We start from the raw sequence: 18208 nt of genomic DNA, 5'->3' as shown, positions 1-18208 counted from the left end.
TTCCAGGTATTTGCAATTGGTACCTTTATGACATCCAGGGATGTCTTTGGGGGCCACCTGTTTTTTTTTTAATTTTTAATTTTTATTTATTTATTTATTTGAGATGGAGTCTCGCTCTGTCGCCCAGGCTGGAGTGCAGTGGCGTGATCTCGGCTCACTGCAAGCTCCACCTCCCAGGTTCACGCCATTCTCCTGCCTCAGCCTCCGGAGTAGTTGGGACTATGGGCGCCTGCCACCACGCCCGGCTAATTTTTTTGTAGTAGAGACGGGATTTTACCGTGTTAGCCAGGATGGTCTCGATCTCCTGACTTCATGATTTGCCCGCCTCAGTCTCCCATAGTGCTGGGATTACAGGCGTCAGCCACCGCGCTCGGCCGGGGCCACCTGTTTTTTAAGTGTGTTGCATCTGTCTTTAAAAGCTAAGGCTGCTTATCCGAATTCAATCTCTGACTGCTTTCTGTGCCTTCAGGGATGGCTGCAGCTGCCCACTGAGTGGCCTGGAGCTTGCCGTGACACAGGGAAGGGACCATGCCTGCCTGAGGATCTGACTGATGTCCAGGGTTGATGTTAGCCTGGCGTGGGGGATCCCAGTCACTGATGGCCTGCAGTCATGTTCATGATTAGCTAATGTCTGTAAGACTTTGAGTCACCACTCACGGTGATTCAGAGTCCATTGTGTCCATCGGGTTTCCTCAAGCAGCGTTGCCATCTGGCCTCTGTCTGGGGATAATTTCTCTGTCCCTTGGTGCCAGAATTAGCCTGTCTCTTCCCTATAGGCAAGCAGAGTGATGCCCAGTGCATCCCAGGCATCGTGCCTTCCTTCGCCTCCTGGGTTGGACACCGTGACTTCGGCCGTCTCTCTGCCTCTAGCCTTAGCGTTCATGCATGCTCACTAGAACTGGAGGGGATGGCTGGCTCCCCAAATGAGGCCTCAGAAACAGGAGCTCAGGGTCATAGAGACGCTGAGAAGGCTGTCTTTGCTAGGGGCATGTTCTAGGGCTTGTTATCCCCAAATGCAACTCTGACACTCCCTCAACCAGCTCAGGTCTTGAGCTGGAAAATTTCTCATCAATTGTCTCCCCACATCCTTCCAACAGTGATGGCAAGATGGCCTTCCTGACACAGGAAGATGTAGCCAAGAGAGGTGGGTGGCTTGCTGAGGGCCCTGCAGCTGCTGAGTGGCTGAGCCAAGACTGCAGGGCATTGTCTGACCCACACTGCAGTCCAAAGCTGCTGTGGCTGCTTTATGGCAGATACCATCACAGAGGGTCCCTTAGGGAAGAAGGAACTGAGGCTCTTCTGCCGATCCTGGGCTTACTCAGGGGTTGGGGGAGATGGAGAGGGAAAGGCCAGCAGGATCAGGGAGGAGGCTTCTTTCTGGGGGAAGCACAGGATGCATTCTGTTGTGAGAGTTGCTCCTGCCCAGGTCAGCATTTTTCTTGGAGTGCTCTGTGGCCAGCCTCCCTAGACATTCTCCCATGGCATGGCCTTATACAGAGGTTCTGATTCGCACACTAGGAAATCCCACCTTTTCCCCAGTCTCTCTCCAAATTCACCTCAATGCTCCTTTCTGTTGGGTAAGCAGTTTCTGCATCTGTAGGTCTTGCTCACTTGAAATTATATGTAGATGTTAAATTTATAGCATCTCTACACGAATGCCTTGATCAGACCATTTCTGAGAGAGGCTGCCTTGGTCACTGTGGAAGGTGGAAGGTGAAGAAGGAGGGATGTTGTTCCTGAGTTGTCATTCCCCTAAGGGCAAGGCTGATGAAGGCAGAAGAAAAGGGGCAATGTTCAGAGAAAATCAGGAGGTTGGCAGCTGGGCAAGGGCCCAACCCATGCCTCAAACAGAATGAGGAGCAAAGTAAAGTGAACATTTATTTATAGAGTTCTTACCACTTGCCCGGCACCATGCTGAGCACCTAGAATTTATTATTTCATCAATTTCTCAAAATGATACAGTGCAGAGGCTCAGAGAAGCTGGGAGACTTGGTCTCACAGCCAGTAAGTCTCAGAGCTGTGGTTCCATCTACTCAAAGCCCCACTGCCTTCATGGGAAGGAAGCCAAGGGGCAGAGTGAGGGAGGCCCAGTGATGAGAATAGGGCCTGAGGAGCCAGTTCTGGAGCTTTGGGTATAGATCTCAACCTTTGTTAGTGCCTGGCCCTCATGCTTTGCTGAATGGAAGACAGACTCTTTCTTTCTTCCTTCCTTCCTCCCTTCCATTCCTTCATTCATTCAACTAACATATTGCCTACATGTTTACCAGTCCAGACAGTGCTGAAATGTATAAAGCAAAATGCTGTAGTTCCCTCACCTAACACCAGTCTAGCTGTTGGAGGTAACTCACCACTGTTAACAATGTGATATCTTCTCTATGATCATATAAGTAAATACCATTCGAAAACATTTTTTGTTTTTTTTTAAATTAAATTAAATTAAATTTTTAGAGATGGAGTCTTGCTCTGTCGCCCAGGCTGGAGTGCAATGGCACAATCTCGGCTCACTGCAACCTCTGCCTCCCAGGTTCAAGCGATTCTCCTGCCTCAGCCTCCCGAGAAGCCAGGACTAGAGGCGCACGCCACCACGCCTGGCTAACTTTTGTATTTTTAGTAGAGATGGAGTTTCACCATGTTGGCCAGGCTGGTCTTGAACTCCTGACTCAGGTGATCCACCTGCTTTGGCCTTCCATAGTGTTGGGATTACCGGTGTGAGCCACCATGCCCAGCTGATTTTTTGTTTTTGAAAAAAAAAAAAAAAAAGCCATACCGTACTCTCTATGCCATTTTTCAATGTGCTTTTCCCCATCACTATGGAGCATTTCCCATTCAGCCATAAGAATCCCTAAGGGGTAAACTCCTAAGGGGCAAGGCACAGCTGGATTGTCTGAGAGTCCTGGGAAAATGTGGAGAAAGTATCAAGGAAGCAAGGTTGAGGGGCACCAGGACTAGTTTCTATCCACCCAGGAAGGTGCCAGGACATCCTTGCATTTGGCAGTATCCCTGCCAGGCAAGTGCTGGTGGAGAGTCACCCTGTGGTCTCACCTTGGGGTTCTTCTTCCCCAGTTGTCACACCCAATTCCCTTCCTCTTCACCATTAGTCCAAAGCGTCATTCTCTCTCTAGCTGTGGTAGCTCTTAGCTGGTTACTCTGCTTACACTCTTGACCTGTGTGTAGATTGCAAATCATCCTAATTTTTTTTTTCACTATTGCCTGTCTTCTCATCCTTTGCAAGCATTTTTCAGCTGTCACGAAAAGGATGGAATGTATATCCCTACCCCTCAATTTTGTGTTTGATCATGTGACTTGTGCAAGAATTTGTGGCTCACTTTGACCAATGTAACAAGGCATATCCTTAAAATATTTGTTTTTCCTTAACCTCTGAAGCTTCTGCTGTCACCAGAAGAAGGACATGTCTACACACTAGCCTGCTGGTCCAAGGAAAAGGATCCAGCCAGGCTCAGCTTAGAGCAGTCCACCCTCAGCTAATTCACACATGCATAAGCTAAATAAATGCTTATTATTGCAGTGGTTCTCCAAGAATGGACTACAGACACCTTTCAAGGGGTCTGTGAGGTCAAAACTATTTTTAAACAATATAAATACATATAGGTCTTTTTCATAATGTTGACAAATACACTGATATTTAAAAAGCAATTGTGAACTGGATAAAAAAGATCCAACTACATGTTGTTTTCAAGAGACACACTTTAGATTCAAAGATAAAAGGTTGAAGGGAAAATGATGTAAAAAATATATCATGCAAATAGCAACCATGAGAAAGCCAGAGTGGCTATATTAATATCAGACAAATATATATATTTTTCAGAGATAAGGTTTACCTCTGTCATCCAGGCTGGAGTACAGTGGCATGATCATAGCTTACTGCAGCCTCTAACTCCTGGGCTCAAGCATTCCTCCACTTCAGTCTCCCGTAGCTGGGACTATAGGTATTTGACACCATGCCTGGTTAATTTTTTCATTTTTAAAGAAATGGGGCCTTGCTGTGTTGCCCTGGATGGTCTTGAATGCCTGGCCTCAAGAGATCTTTTTGCTTCAGCCTCCTGAGTTGCTAGGATTATAAGTGTAAGCCACTGCTCCTGGCTAACACAAATAGATTTTAAAACAAAAAATTATTAGAGATAGTGAGAGACATTTATAATGATGAAAGCGTAAATTCATCAGGAAAATATAACGATTATAAACATATATGCATCTAATAACAAAGCCCCAAAATAAATGAAACAAATTGAAGAGACAAATAGACAATTCAACAATTATAGTTGATGACTTTAATATCCCAGTTTGAACAACTAGGCAGAAGATCAATAAAGAGACAGAAGACTTGAACAACATTATAAACAAACTAGACCTAATAGGTATCTATAGAACACTCTACCCACCAGCAGAAGAATACACATTCTTCTCAAATGCACATGGAGCATTCTCCAAGATAGATCGTATGTTAGGTCATAAAACAAGTCTCAATAACTTTAAAAGGATGGAAATGACACAAAGTGTGTTCTGTGGACATAAGAGAGTAAAATTAGAAATCAATAGAGAAGAACATTTGGAAAATTCACAAATATGTGGAAACTTAAGAATATACTCCTAAATAGCCAATGGACCAAATAAAGAAATCCTAAAGATGAATCAAAAATACTTTGAAATGAACGAAAATGAAGACAAAAACATGTCATAATTTATGGGATGCAGACAAAGCAGTACTTAGAGGAAAATTTATAGTTGTAAATATGTATATTATAAAGAAAGACCTCAAATCAATAACATGTCCTTCCACCTTAAGATACTAGAAAAAGAAGAGTAAACTAAAACCAAGCAAGCTAAATAAAGGAAATAATAAAGATTAGAGTAGAAATTTATAAAATAGGGAATAAAATTCATAGAGAAAAATAAACAGAACCAAAAGTTAGGTTACTTGAAAAGATCAACAAAATTGACAAAACTTTAATTCGATTGACCAAGTTGAAAAGAAAGAGAAGTCTCAAATTATTAAAATCAGGAATAAAAGACTTCACAGACCTACTGACAGAAATTAAAAGGATCATAAGGGAATATGATGAACAACTGTATGACAATTAAGTTCAAAAAGTTAGATGAAATGAAAAAATTTCTAGAAGGACAAAAACTACCAAAACTGACTTAGAAGAAATAGAACATCTGAATAGACCTATAACAAATAAAGATATTAAATTAGTAAAAAAAATTTTAGTCAAAACTACTCACAAGGAGCTCAGTCCCAGAGGGCTTAACTGGTGAACATTTAAAGAATAATTAATATTGATTTTCCACAAACTTTTCCAAAAATAGAAGAGGAAAGAATACTTCCCAACAAATTCTATGAGGCCAACATTACTCTGATACTCAAACCAGACAAAGGTATCATATTAGAAGAAAATTACAGACCAATACCTCTCATAGGCAAAAATTCCTCCAGAAAATACTAACAAACTGAGTCCACAAACATAAAAAGCATTACATACCATGTTAAGTGGGATTTATTCCAGGAATGCAAGGTTTGTTTAACATCAGAAAATTAAACATTATAACATACCAACCCTATCAAGACATTTGACAAATTCAAAATCCTTTTATGATAAATATTCAACAAACTAGGAATATAGGGAACTTTCTTAATCTGATTAAGGGCATCTATAAAACACACACACACACGCGCGCACACACACACACACACCACACAAGCCACAGCTAACCTCATATTAATGGTGAATGATTGAATGCTTTCTTTCCTAAGATTGGGAACAAGATAAGGATATCTGCTCTTGCCACTTATATTCAATATTGTACTGGGAATTCTAGTCAGGGCAATTAGGCAGTAAAAAAAAAAAAGGGCATAAGACTGGAAAAAAAATAAAACTATCTCTATTTGAATGTGACATTATTTTGATATAGAAAATCCTAAGAAATTTACTAAAAATCTATTAGAATAAAAAAGTTAGTCAAGGTTACAGAACATAAGATCAATACATTAAATCAATTATATTTCTATATGCTTGCAATGAATAATCAGAAAATAAAAATAAGAAAACAATTCCTTTTCCATTAGCATCAAAAGAATGAAATACATAGGATTAATTTTTCCAAAAGAAGTGAAAAACTTGTATTCTGAAACATGTATAACATTGTTGAAATAAACTAAAGACCTAAATAATGAAAATACATCCATTTTGATAGATCAGAAGACTAACTATTGCTACGATGGGAATACTTCCCAAATTGATCTACAGATTTAATGCAATCTCTATCAAAATTCCAGCTGGCTTATTTTTCTGAAATTGACAAGCTGATTCTAAACTTCACATAAAAATGTAAAGCACCCAGGATAGCCAAAACAGTCTTAAGCAAAGTTGGAGGGCTCACACTTTCCAACTTCAAAACTAACTACAAAGCTACAGTAATCAAGACAATGTGATACTGGCATAAGAACAGACACATAGATCAATGAAATAGAATTGAGAGCCCAGAAATAAACCATGATAATTATGGTCAGTTGATTTTCTGCAAGGGTTTCAAGACCATTCAATGGAAAAAGAAGAATCCTTTCATCAAATGATGCTGGGAAAACTGGATATCCACATGCCAAAGAATGAATTTAAATCCCTACCTCATACCATATACAAAAAATTAACTGAAAATGCACCAAAAATCTAACTGTAAAAACAAAAACTATAAAACTCTTAAAAGAAATATGGTCATAAATCCTTGTTACTTTGGATCTGGCAATAGTTTTTTAGGTATGACACCAAAGGCACAAGCAACCAAAGGAAAAATAAATAAATTGAACTTTATTAAAATTAAAAACTTTTGTGCTTTAAAGAATACCATCAATAAAGTGAAAGGATAACCCACAAAATGGAAGAAAATATTAACAAGTCATATATCTGAAAGGGGCTTGTATTCAGAATATATAAAGAACTTTTACAATCCAATAATAAAAAGACAGACAACCCAATTAAAAAATGGGCAAAGGATGAATAGACATTTATTCAGAGAAGATATACAAATGGCCAATAAACACATAAAAGATGCTCAACATCATGAGCCATCAGGAAAATAAAAATCAAAACCACAATGAGATATCACTTCACATCCACTAAGATGGCTGTAATCAAAAAAGACAAGCGTCCACAAGGAGGTCGAGAAACTGAAACCCTTATACACTGTTAGGAGAAATGTAAAATGGTGCAGCCACTTTGCCAGTTCTTCAAAAGGTAAGACATAGAATTATCATATGACCCAATAGTACCGCTCTTAGGTATACACTCAATAAAAATAAAAGTATGTGTCCATCTACATAATGTATAAAATATATGTCCATATACATATTTTATGAAAGCTTGTTCATGAATGTTCATAGTAGCAGTATTCATTATAACCAAAAAGTGGAAATAGCCCAAATATCCACCAATTGATGAATGGATAAATAAAATATTATATATCCATGCAGTTGGATAGTGTTTGGCAATAAAAAGAAATGGAATCCTGACACATGGTACAACATGGATGAACTTTGAAAGCCTTATGCTTATGAAAAAGGCAGACACAAAAGGCCACATATTGTCTGATCCCATTTATATGAAATGCCCAGAATAGGCAAATCCATAAGAGACAGAAAGTAGATTAGTAGTTGCCTAGAGCTGAGAGGTTTGGAGAGAAATGGGGAGTGGTTGCTAATGGATATGAGGTTTCACCGTGAAGTGATAAAAATGTTCTAAAGTTGATCAACACAATGTTGATTGTGTTGATGGTTAGTGTATTAGTTTCACTCATGTGATGGCTTGAAATAACATAAATTTATTGTCTTATAGTTCTGAAATTGGAAATGCGTCTCACTGGGCTAAAATCAAGGTTTTGACAGAACTGCTTCCTTTTAGAGGCTCTGGGGGAAAATTTGTTTCCTTTCAGCTTCTAGGACTGTGCATTTCTTGGCTTGTGACTTGGCTTCCTCCATCTTCAAAGCCTGCAGTGTAGTACCTTCAGATCTCTCTGACTCCTTCACTGACTGCACTCCCACCCCCCTTTCAATTATAAGGATCCTTGTGATTACATGGGTCCCACCTATATAATCCAGGAAAATCTCTACCTGAGGTCAGGAGTTCGAGATCAGCCTGGACAACATGGTGAAACTGTATCTCTACAAAAAAAAAATACAAAAAATTAGCCACCACGCCCGGCTAATTTTTTGTATTTTTTTTTTTAGTAGAGATGGGGTTTCACCTTGTTGGCCAGGCTGATCTTGAACTCCTGACCTCAGGTAATCCACCCACCTCAGCCTCCCAAAGTGCTGGGATTATAGGTGTAAGTCACCATGCCCAGCTGACTCTGGTATTTTCTAGCTGTGTAAACTGAAACAAATTATTTAACTTTCCCCAGCCTCTGACTTCTTATCTATAGAATGAGGATAATAATAAAATTTATTTCCCAGAATTTAACTGAGATAGTTCGTGCAAAGGTCTCTGCACACAGTGAGCACTCAGTAATGATTGCCATGCTGCTACTGTTGGTAATTATTCCCTGAGTCTCAGTTTCCTTTCCTCAAGAATGGGGATAATGATTCCGCCTATGGACTTCATGGGGTTGTTTTTGAAGCTCTAACAAGCTAATAGACTGGAATGTGCTCTGAGGAGGAACAACAGCAGGACAAATGCAGGAGGTTGTTATGATTTGGCCTTCTTTTTAAAGGATGTTTGGCTTCCTGCAGACTCTGAATTATGCAGGCTCAGAGGAGCTTGGCACTGACTCTCAGTTCCCTGCTGCCTGGGGCCTCATTTGGATGTTAGTGGTGTCCATCCCTTCTCTAGACACACTGGGCAGCTGTTTGTGGGGACTACACAATGCCCAGCTGCCTTTAGGCCAGAGAGGCCCCTGGCACTGCAAACCCAGCCTGAGAGGGCAAGTCAAAGGTAAGGCTGGACAGGAAGGTCAGCAGCAGTCTTTGTGCTGCTTTCTGTCCCTGTGGAAGCCCTGGCAGGGAGAGGCTGTGCTGCTTCTGTTTCAGTTGGCCAGGCCACTTAATCATCTTTTAATTGAGTCTGAACTTGCTTTTCAGGAGCAAGGGCAATGTCTGTGGCAGCTCTGTGCATATGGGCAAGGTGGGTGTCTACCCGCTTCTCTTGATGCTAACAGTTAGTTAATTTAGATTAAAATCAAGATTCAGGATAAACCTAATTTAGGCCAAAATTAGTTCATTTATGTTAAGCATTCTCCCCGAAAGGCAATCTGGCATAGAAGAATGTCCTGGGTTTGGAACTAGCTGCACCTGGTTTTGAACCACCCCCTCTCCCACCTGCCTGGCCTAGGAATATTTTGCAGCCCAAGGTAGTCCCAGAGGTCCCTCTATCATTTCCCTCAGGAAAGAGAAATGCATTAAATCTTTAATAAGACAGTAGAAATAAATTAAGAATTTCTTTCCAGAATCCCAGATTCCAGGACAAGGGATGGGAAGAGAGAAGGGCTCCCTTGATTTCCCCCATCACATACTTCCCACTGTCCCTTCAAAAACATCTCATAGACATTTATTGAACATCTCTCTAGTGCGAAGTGCTTTTTATACACAATCTCAGTTAATCTTCACAACATCTGTTCAAGGAACATAGTCTCATCTTCTTGTTGCAGTTGATGGGATGGTTGGACATATTGTCGGTCCTCGGATTTTTGAGTACGTGGCAGGCATTGGTTCATTAGCTAACTCATTCACCATATGAATGGTGCACACACAATGTGCTCAGCATGGAGAATATGGTGAATACAATTAGACACAGCTTCCGCCCTTGGTGGCAGGCATTAATCAAAACTCCACACAAACATATGTAAAATCACACATTTGGAAGGTGCTAAGGAGAGGTCTATAGTATTACAAGAGACCCTGAAGGAGCTTGGAGGATGTGGTAGATTTGCTGGGATATGAGATATGATCAAGCCATAACTTGCCCATGGTTGTGTGGGCAGTGGCTGAAGCTTGGAGAACTTGAAGTGTGGTGTAAATAAAGGTCACCTGATCATATGGGACTGGCCCATGGACCATGTTAAAGCATTTGACCTTTACCCCCGGGGCAGGGAGAGGACATTAAACTACTTCCAACAGAAGGTGATGTTAGCACATGTGCCATTTTCAAAGGTAACCGGCTGCTGTGTGGAGAGAAGGAGGGAGACCAGAAGGGTTGCAGCTGTCCAGGGAGTGTATGTGGGTGGCAGCTTAGACTGCAGCAGTGACATGGAGATGGAGGGAGCAGATGACTTCAAGCAACATCTAGGATGTGAAATGGATAGTTCTTGAGGTGGGATAGATGGTGAGAAGAAAGCTCCTGGGCAGGATGGCTTCATGTAACCTGTGCATAGCATGGAGGCCACACTCAGAGGTCCCATGCTTGGTTTAATGCTCTTCCTCCCCTCTAGCTTTATTGAGATAAAATTTATAATTTATTGAGATATAATTGACAAAAAATTGTATATATTTAAGTTGTACAATGTGATGATTTGATGTGCATATATAATGAAATGATTATCACAATCAAGTTAATAACAAATCAATGACCTCACAGTTAACATTTTTTTGCATGTGGTAAGAATACTTAAGATCTATTCGTAGCAAATATCAAGTATGCAATACAGTATTATTAACTATAGTCACTATGCTATACATTAGATCTCCAGAACTCATTTGTCTTACAACTGAAAATGTACACTTTGACCAACCTCTCTCTATTGTCTCCCACTCTCACTCCCATGCCCTGGTAATCACCGTTCTACTGTCTGTTTCTATGAGTTTGCCTTTCTTCAATTTCACATATAAGAGAGTTCATACAGTATTTCTCTCTCTGTGCCTGGCTTATTTCACTTAGCATAATGTCTCCAGGTTCATCCATATTGTTGCAGGTGGCAGGATTTCCTTATTTTTTATGGCTGAATAATATTTATTGTATATATACACACCACATTTTCTTTATCCATTTACCCATTGATGGACACTTAGGTTGCTTCCATATCTTGGTTATTGCAAATAATATAGTAATAAACATGGGAGTGCAGATACCAAGATGCTGATTACCCAGAAGTGGGATTGCTGGATCATATAGCAGTTCTATTTTTAATTTTTTTGGGAACCTCCATTATGTTTTTCATAAGAGTTGTACCAACTTACATTTCCACCAACAGTGTACAGGGGTTCTCTTTTCTCTACATCCTTGCCAATACTTGTTATTGCTTGTCTTTTTGATAATAGCCATCCCAGCAGGTGTGAGGTGGTATCTCATTGTGGTTTTAATTTGCATTTTCCTGATGATTAGTGATGTTGAGAACCTTTTCATATACCTGTTGGTTATATGTATCTCTTTTTTTGGAAAAATGTCTATTCATGCCCTTTCCCCATTTTTAAATTGTGTGTGTGTGTGTGTGTGTGTGTGTGTGTGTGTGTTTGCTATTGAGTTGTAGGAGTTCCTTATATATTTAGGATGCTAACCCCTTATTATATATATGGCTTGGAAATATTTTCTCCTATTATGTAGGTTGCCTTTTCAATTTGTTGATTTTCTTTGCTGTGTGGAAGATTTTTTTAATTTGATGTAGTCCCACTTGTTTAGTTTTGCTTTTGTTGCCTGTGCTTTTAATGTCATATCCAAAAAAATCATTGTTCTGGTCAATATCAAGGAGCTTTTCTCCTATGATTTCTTCTGGCAATATATAGTTTCAAGTCTTTCATTTAAATCTTTAATCCATTTTGAGTTAATTTTTCTGCACAGTGTAAGGGTCAAATTTCATACTTTTGCATGTGGATATCCAGTTTTCCCAACACCATTTATTGGAAAGATTGTTTTTTCCACATTGTGTATTCTTGGTATCTTTATCAAAGATTAATTGAACATATATGTGTGAGCTCATTTCTGGGCTATCTATTCTGTTCCATTGGTCTATGTATTTTTTTAATGCAAGTACCATGTTTTTATGCCTGTTTTAATTACTAAAGCTTTGTGATATAGTTTGAAGTCATAAAGTGCAAAGCCTCTAGCTTCGTCTTTACTCAAGATTGTTTTGGCCATTTGGAGTCTTTTCTGACCCCATATGAATTTCAGAATTGTTTTTTCTGTTTCTGTTAAAATGCCTTTAGAATTTTGATAAGGATTGCTTTGAATCTGAGATCACTTTAGGTAATATAGGCATTTTAACAATATTAATTCGGATCTTTAATCTCCTTGGTTAAATTTATTCCTAAGTATTTTATTATTTTCAATGCTATTGTAAATGTTATTGTTTTCTTAATTTCTTTTTCTGATGGCTTGTTTTTAGTATATAGAAATGCAACTGATTTTTTGTATGTTGATTTTGTATCTGGCAACCTGACTGAATTCATTTATTAGTTCTAAAGGTTTTTTTTGGTGGTGCATTTGGGATTTTCTATATATAAGATCATGTCATATATAAAGAGATGATTTCACCCCTTCCTTTCTTACTTGGATGCCTTTTATTATTTCGTCTTGCCTGGTTGCTCCGGCAAGATCTTTTTTCTTCATGTATGCATATATATATATACAAACAAACTATATATATATTATTATATATGTATCTGTGTATTTATATATATACACACAAAGTATATATATCTCATTATATATGTATATCTCATTATATATGTGTAAGTATATTTGTATACAAACTATATATGTATATCTCATTATGTATAAGTACATATGTATACAAACTATATGTATATATAGTTTGCTTGTTTTTTGCTATTAACTTCCCTCTGAGAGCTGCTTTTCTTGCACTTCATAAGTTTTGGTATATTGTGTTTCTATGTTCATTTGTTCATTTGTCTCAAGATTTTTAAATATCTTTTTTGATTTATTATTTGACTCATCGGTTGTTTAGAAGTATGGTATTGGTTTCCATATATTTGCAAATTTTCCAATTTTCCTCCTGTTATCGATTTCTAGTTTTGTAGCATTATGGTCATAAAAGATACTTGATATAATTTCAACCTTCTTAAATTTGTTAAGACTTGTTTTGTGGACTAGTACATGGAGAATGTTTTTTTGTGTGCTTGAGAAAAATGTGTATTCTGCTGCTGTTGGATGGAATGCTCTGATGGTCCCAATGTGTCTATTAGGTCCGTTTGATCTATAGTTTTATTCAACTATGCTATTTCCTTATTAATTGTCTGTCTGTGTGATATATCCATGAATAAAACCGGGATATTGAAGTTCTCTCCTATTATTATATTGCTATTTTTCCCTTCACAGTTCTGTTAATATTTTCTCTATATATTTAGGTGCTCCAAGATTGAGTGCATATATATTTACAATTGCTATATTCTCTTGATGAACTGATCCCTTTGTAATTATATAGTTACTTTCCTTGTCTCTTGTAACTACATGACTGTTTTTGGTGAGATACAAGACATCTGACCCTCTCTTTCTGGAAGCTGCATTGTGTTTCCACTGGCCCTGCAGTTTGCAGAAGTTTCTGTTCTCATTTCTAGGCTATTTGCTCAGTACTTTCTGTCTTGCTTAGGACCAACACCCTTGGCTCCTAATCTGGAACATTGGGTAATACTGCTGGGGTGTGATGGATGTGTGGGCTTAGGGGCACATGGGGAAAACTCTCACTACCATGGATTTCTAGTGCTTTTGTCATTGGCACCCTGGTTCACTCAAATTGGGGTGGCTATGAGTGGACCTCAAGCTTTTTTGCTTGGGGTATAGAGAACAGACTCCAGCTTGGTCTACTGGGCCTGGTCATTTGATTCTAACCTATGGCCCCTGTACTCTTAGGCATTCTTATAGGCAGCTACATAATAGCTAGTATTTGTATAGGTACCCACTATGTGCCAGGCATCATGCATTGAATCAACTTGAACAACTGAGTGACATGGTATAATCATGTATTTTCCAAAATGGCACAACAATACTTTTGGTCTCAGATGCCTCCAATATCTTGCTTTTTTTCTCTCCAAGAGGCAGGGTCTATTTCTCCTCTTCCTGAAAACTGGTGGGTCTTTGTAACTGCTTTATTGAATAGAATATGGCAGAAGTAATGCAATATGACTTCTGAGGTTGTTACAAAAGGTGATATGGCTTTTTCTTGCCTCTTTCTTTCTCCCCATTTCTGTTTCTCTCTGTGTCTCCCTGTCTCTGACTTTCTCTGTCTTGGACTCTATCTCTTTCTCCCTCTCTCTCAATGCTTGCTTTTGAAAACCAGCCACTGTTTCCTGAGGGAGCCTAGGAACCCATGCCTAGGCATCTGACCCACAGCCCCAGCTAAGCTTCCAGTGACAGCCAGAATTGGCAGCTGACCCATTGCCCCAGCTAAGTTCCCAGTGACAGCCAGAGTTGACTGTGATCTATGTGGGATATCAGGCCTCACAATCTATAAGATGATTCGAGCCCTTGCCTTTCCATCGTTCCAGCTAATGTCTACTGGAGCACAGATGAGCTGTCCCTGCCAAGCCCTGCCCCAACTCACAGTTTCATGAGCAAAATAAGTTTGAAAACACTACACTTTAGGGCAACTTGCTATGTAGCCACAGTAACTGAAAACATGGGTATTACACAAATGGGAAACTCATTCCCATTTGTGAGTCAGGTTAATTGAGGCACAGTGAGATTGGCGCTGTCACTCAAGGTAATACTGTTAGTATGTGGTGGCATCCAGATTTAAATCCAAGTCTGCATGACTCCCCCATACAACGTTGATTCCAGGGCCTGTACATTTACCTGTGGTGAGCCTGCATGAGTCAATGCATCAACTCCTCCTCTGCTATCCTTGAACTTTAAGGGGTTCCACAAGGTAGGAATAAGGAGTCCCTAAGAAAAGCCAAGGCTTCAGGAATCAACCACTTCAAAGGAAGCAGAGAGAATGTCCACTCTCTAGCACCCTATTCCAGAGTTCCAGAAAGCACGGTTCTCAGAAAAAAAGCAACAGGCTAGGAGGAAAGGATAGGAGGGAGTCAGAGATCTGGCTGATCCCAGTTAGCCATGCAATCTTAGCAAATCTTGAGCCTCAGTTTCTCCATCTGTAAAGTGGACAAGGTATGAAATTTGATAGTTAGGGGGACAAGCTGGGGTGGGGATATCATTCCTAGTAGGGGGAATGGGCTGAGTGTGGGTGTGGAGATGGTGTGCACAGGAGTGTTGGGGTACCTGCTTGGGGAGCCAAGCCTGGTACAGGAAGATCAGCGTGGGTGGAAAGGAGGCAGATAGGGTGGGCCAGGGCCACAGAAGCAGCTGTGCAGTGGAATTGAGAAGAGTCTGCTAAGGACTGGGAGTACGGGTTTGTGCTGTGTTGGAGAGGCAGCTCAGTCACTGGGAGCTGAGTCAGCACCCTGAGGCTGCATTCATCCCAGAATCATCAAGTGTGAGATGAATCTTGTGTCCGTGTTCCTCGTGGTCCTAGTGTTTTAGCATGCTAGGGTCCCTGTCCTTCAGGTAGGGTGACAAGGTGTGCCTCGATCCCTTGGGAATCCTGGGCCAGCTCTTGGATGTCATGCACACAGGGAAGGTCTCCTCCACTTGTGACCATCCCAAGCACACCAGCTCTGGAGCCTTTGGCTGTTCTTTCCTTCTTTGGTGCATCTTTCCTGCAAGGAATTGTTGTTGGAGCTGGGCACCTTTAAGAAACTTTATGAAATGTCACAAACACCTTAAATGTGGAGAGAAAGTGCTGTGTACGAGGCAACCACAGGAAGAGCTGGGGGTATGAAAGCAACAGTTCTCTTGGTGGCCTTCGGATGTGGCTGCTCTGCTTACACCAGGACCCCAAAGAGCCGGTCCATCCTTCACGGGTGGGAAGCCTCCTCCTGGCTGGCTGTACATCTCGATTATCAAAGCTGTTATTTGTAAACACTCCAGCCAGCTGGTTGAAAACTCTGACAACACTTGAAGGGAATGCTCCCACTTCCCCAGCACCCTGGGGTGGCGTTGGGAGGCACATGCTCCACAGCTAAGAAAGAGCAAGAGGTGGAGGCTGGAGATACCCAGGCTGGTCTGTGGAGGCTTTCTGGAAACATACTCCTACTATCTAGAGATAATTGCTGTTAATTTGTTTGTAACATCCTTTTGAGACCATTCTCTGTGGGTGGATTTATAAATGGCATCATTCTATATACCCTGTTCTGTAGCCGCTTCCTCCTTCTTCTCTCTCTCTCTCTCACACACACAGACACACATACTTTCCTAGGTCAATTAGCAAAGATCCACCTTCTCATTTTTAATCTCTACCCAGTTTTTCGCGGGATGCACATAATAAACACTCCTGTTCTGCTTGTTCTACAATGTTTAACAGCCATCTGTATACATACCTCTTTGCATTTTTGCCCAATCATTTCCTCAAGTTACATCATTAGAAGGGTTAATTACTGTGTCAAAAGGCATGCACATTTTAAAGGCAATTTATATATATTGTTAAATTTCTTCCTTTGAAGGAGGCTACTCCAAAATGCATTCTTACCAGAAGTGTTTGAGAGCTTCAGATTCCTCCGGGGTATTCTCTTTTTCCATTTTCTCCAGTCTGTTAGGTGAAAAATGACATTTCAGTTGTTTAAAACTCACTCTTGGCAGAGTGCTTCTGCCTTTCCTGTACAGTGCATACTCATTCTTTCTCCTTGTATTTATTGAGTACCTACGATGTGCTGTACTGTGGTCAGCACTGGGGATGCTTCATCAGATGGTCCTTTCTGCTCTTATTGCTTTGCAGTGTGTGTTTTGCCTTCCAGACTTAGAGCATTATAGAAGGTTAGAGCTGTAAATGATCTTAGAGATTGTCTAATAACCTCATTTTAAGGAGGGGAAACTGAGGCCCAGGGAGATGTGGGGATTTGCCCATGGTCACACAGGGCGGCACATTCATGGTGGAATTCTAACTCCGAAGGCAGGGATTTGGGGCTTTCTACTTGTTTTGATTTTCTCACCCAGCATGGGAGCACTTGTTGGTCAAATTCAACTCTGAGCTAATAGCACAGCCTCCCTGTGCTACAATTCAGGGGACATTCCAATGGGCACAGAGTAGGTGCTTTAGAACTTATTTATTGAAAGAATGTTGGTGCATAACAGAACAGAAGAAATAGTACATTCTGTTAAATTGTGCTGAATATTCCAGGAAGAAAGGCAGGCTTCTGTGGGGTGCCCTTCTGGGATGAAATGCCTTTTTTTTTTTTTAAATGAAAAAGAAAAATGAGTGGGCTGTTGGAATTGGTGGAGGAGGAGAGATGGGCTGCCTAAGGCTTGAGACAATGTGTTTGGAGCCGTCAGGTCACTGGAATTTCCCTTAGGTGCCTTTCTCCTACCAGAGATGGCCTGATAGAAATGGGGCAGGAGCTAACGGGAGAAGAGAGCTTTGTTTTCTCTGAGCGTTCCTATCTGAACCTAGCCTGAACTCTTGAGTAATTCCCAGGGACTGTCTCATGCCATTGTTATTGTCTCTGCTCAGCTAGCTCCCTCTTTCCTTCTACTTCATCAAAAAGTCTTTCTAGCTTGTCTCTTGAGAACATTTTCAATGCTGCCCTGGCCTTTTATGACGCAGGAGGTAGCTGAGTCAATGGAAAGACCAGAGTTTGGTTCTGGCTTCACTTCTGATCACAGTGGGACCTTGGGCAAATCTCCTGTCTTTGCCATGTCGACCCTGGCACCACCCAATTCACACTTGTGCCCCTCTCCCCGGGTGCCCACAACAGCCTTTTTTTTTTTTTTGAGATGGGATCTTGCTCTGTTGCCCAGGCTGGAGGGCAGTGGCACAGTCTCGGCTCACTGCAACCTCCACCTATTGGGTTTGAGAGATTCTCCTGCCTCAGCCTCCCAAGTAGCTGGGACTACAGGCACGCACCACCACGCCCAGCTAAGTTTTGTATTTTTAGTAGAGATGGGGTTTCACCATGTTGGCCAGGATGGTCTCGATCTCCTGACCTCGTGATCCACCAACCTCAGCCTCCCAAAGTGCTGGGATTACAGGCATGAGCCACCATGCTGGCTCAACAGCCTTTTAATCCATCTCTTTGCAACTGCTTGCCTCCCTCCAATCTGTGCCCCTGCTAGTGCGAATGCATTATCACTCCTTCACTTAAAACCCCTCATGCCTCCCAGCCCTCTTAGAAGAGAGAGCAAAGTCCCTTACACTTCCACCAGATCCGTGTGGCCTGTCCCTGCTCCTCTTGTGCTTTGCTCCAGCCACGCTGACCTCCTTT

Source organism: Homo sapiens, chromosome 3, assembly GCF_000001405.40.
Source record: "Homo sapiens chromosome 3, GRCh38.p14 Primary Assembly".
In the NCBI taxonomy this organism is placed as follows: Eukaryota; Metazoa; Chordata; class Mammalia; order Primates; family Hominidae; genus Homo; species Homo sapiens.
This window is presented reverse-complemented; position numbering follows the sequence as displayed.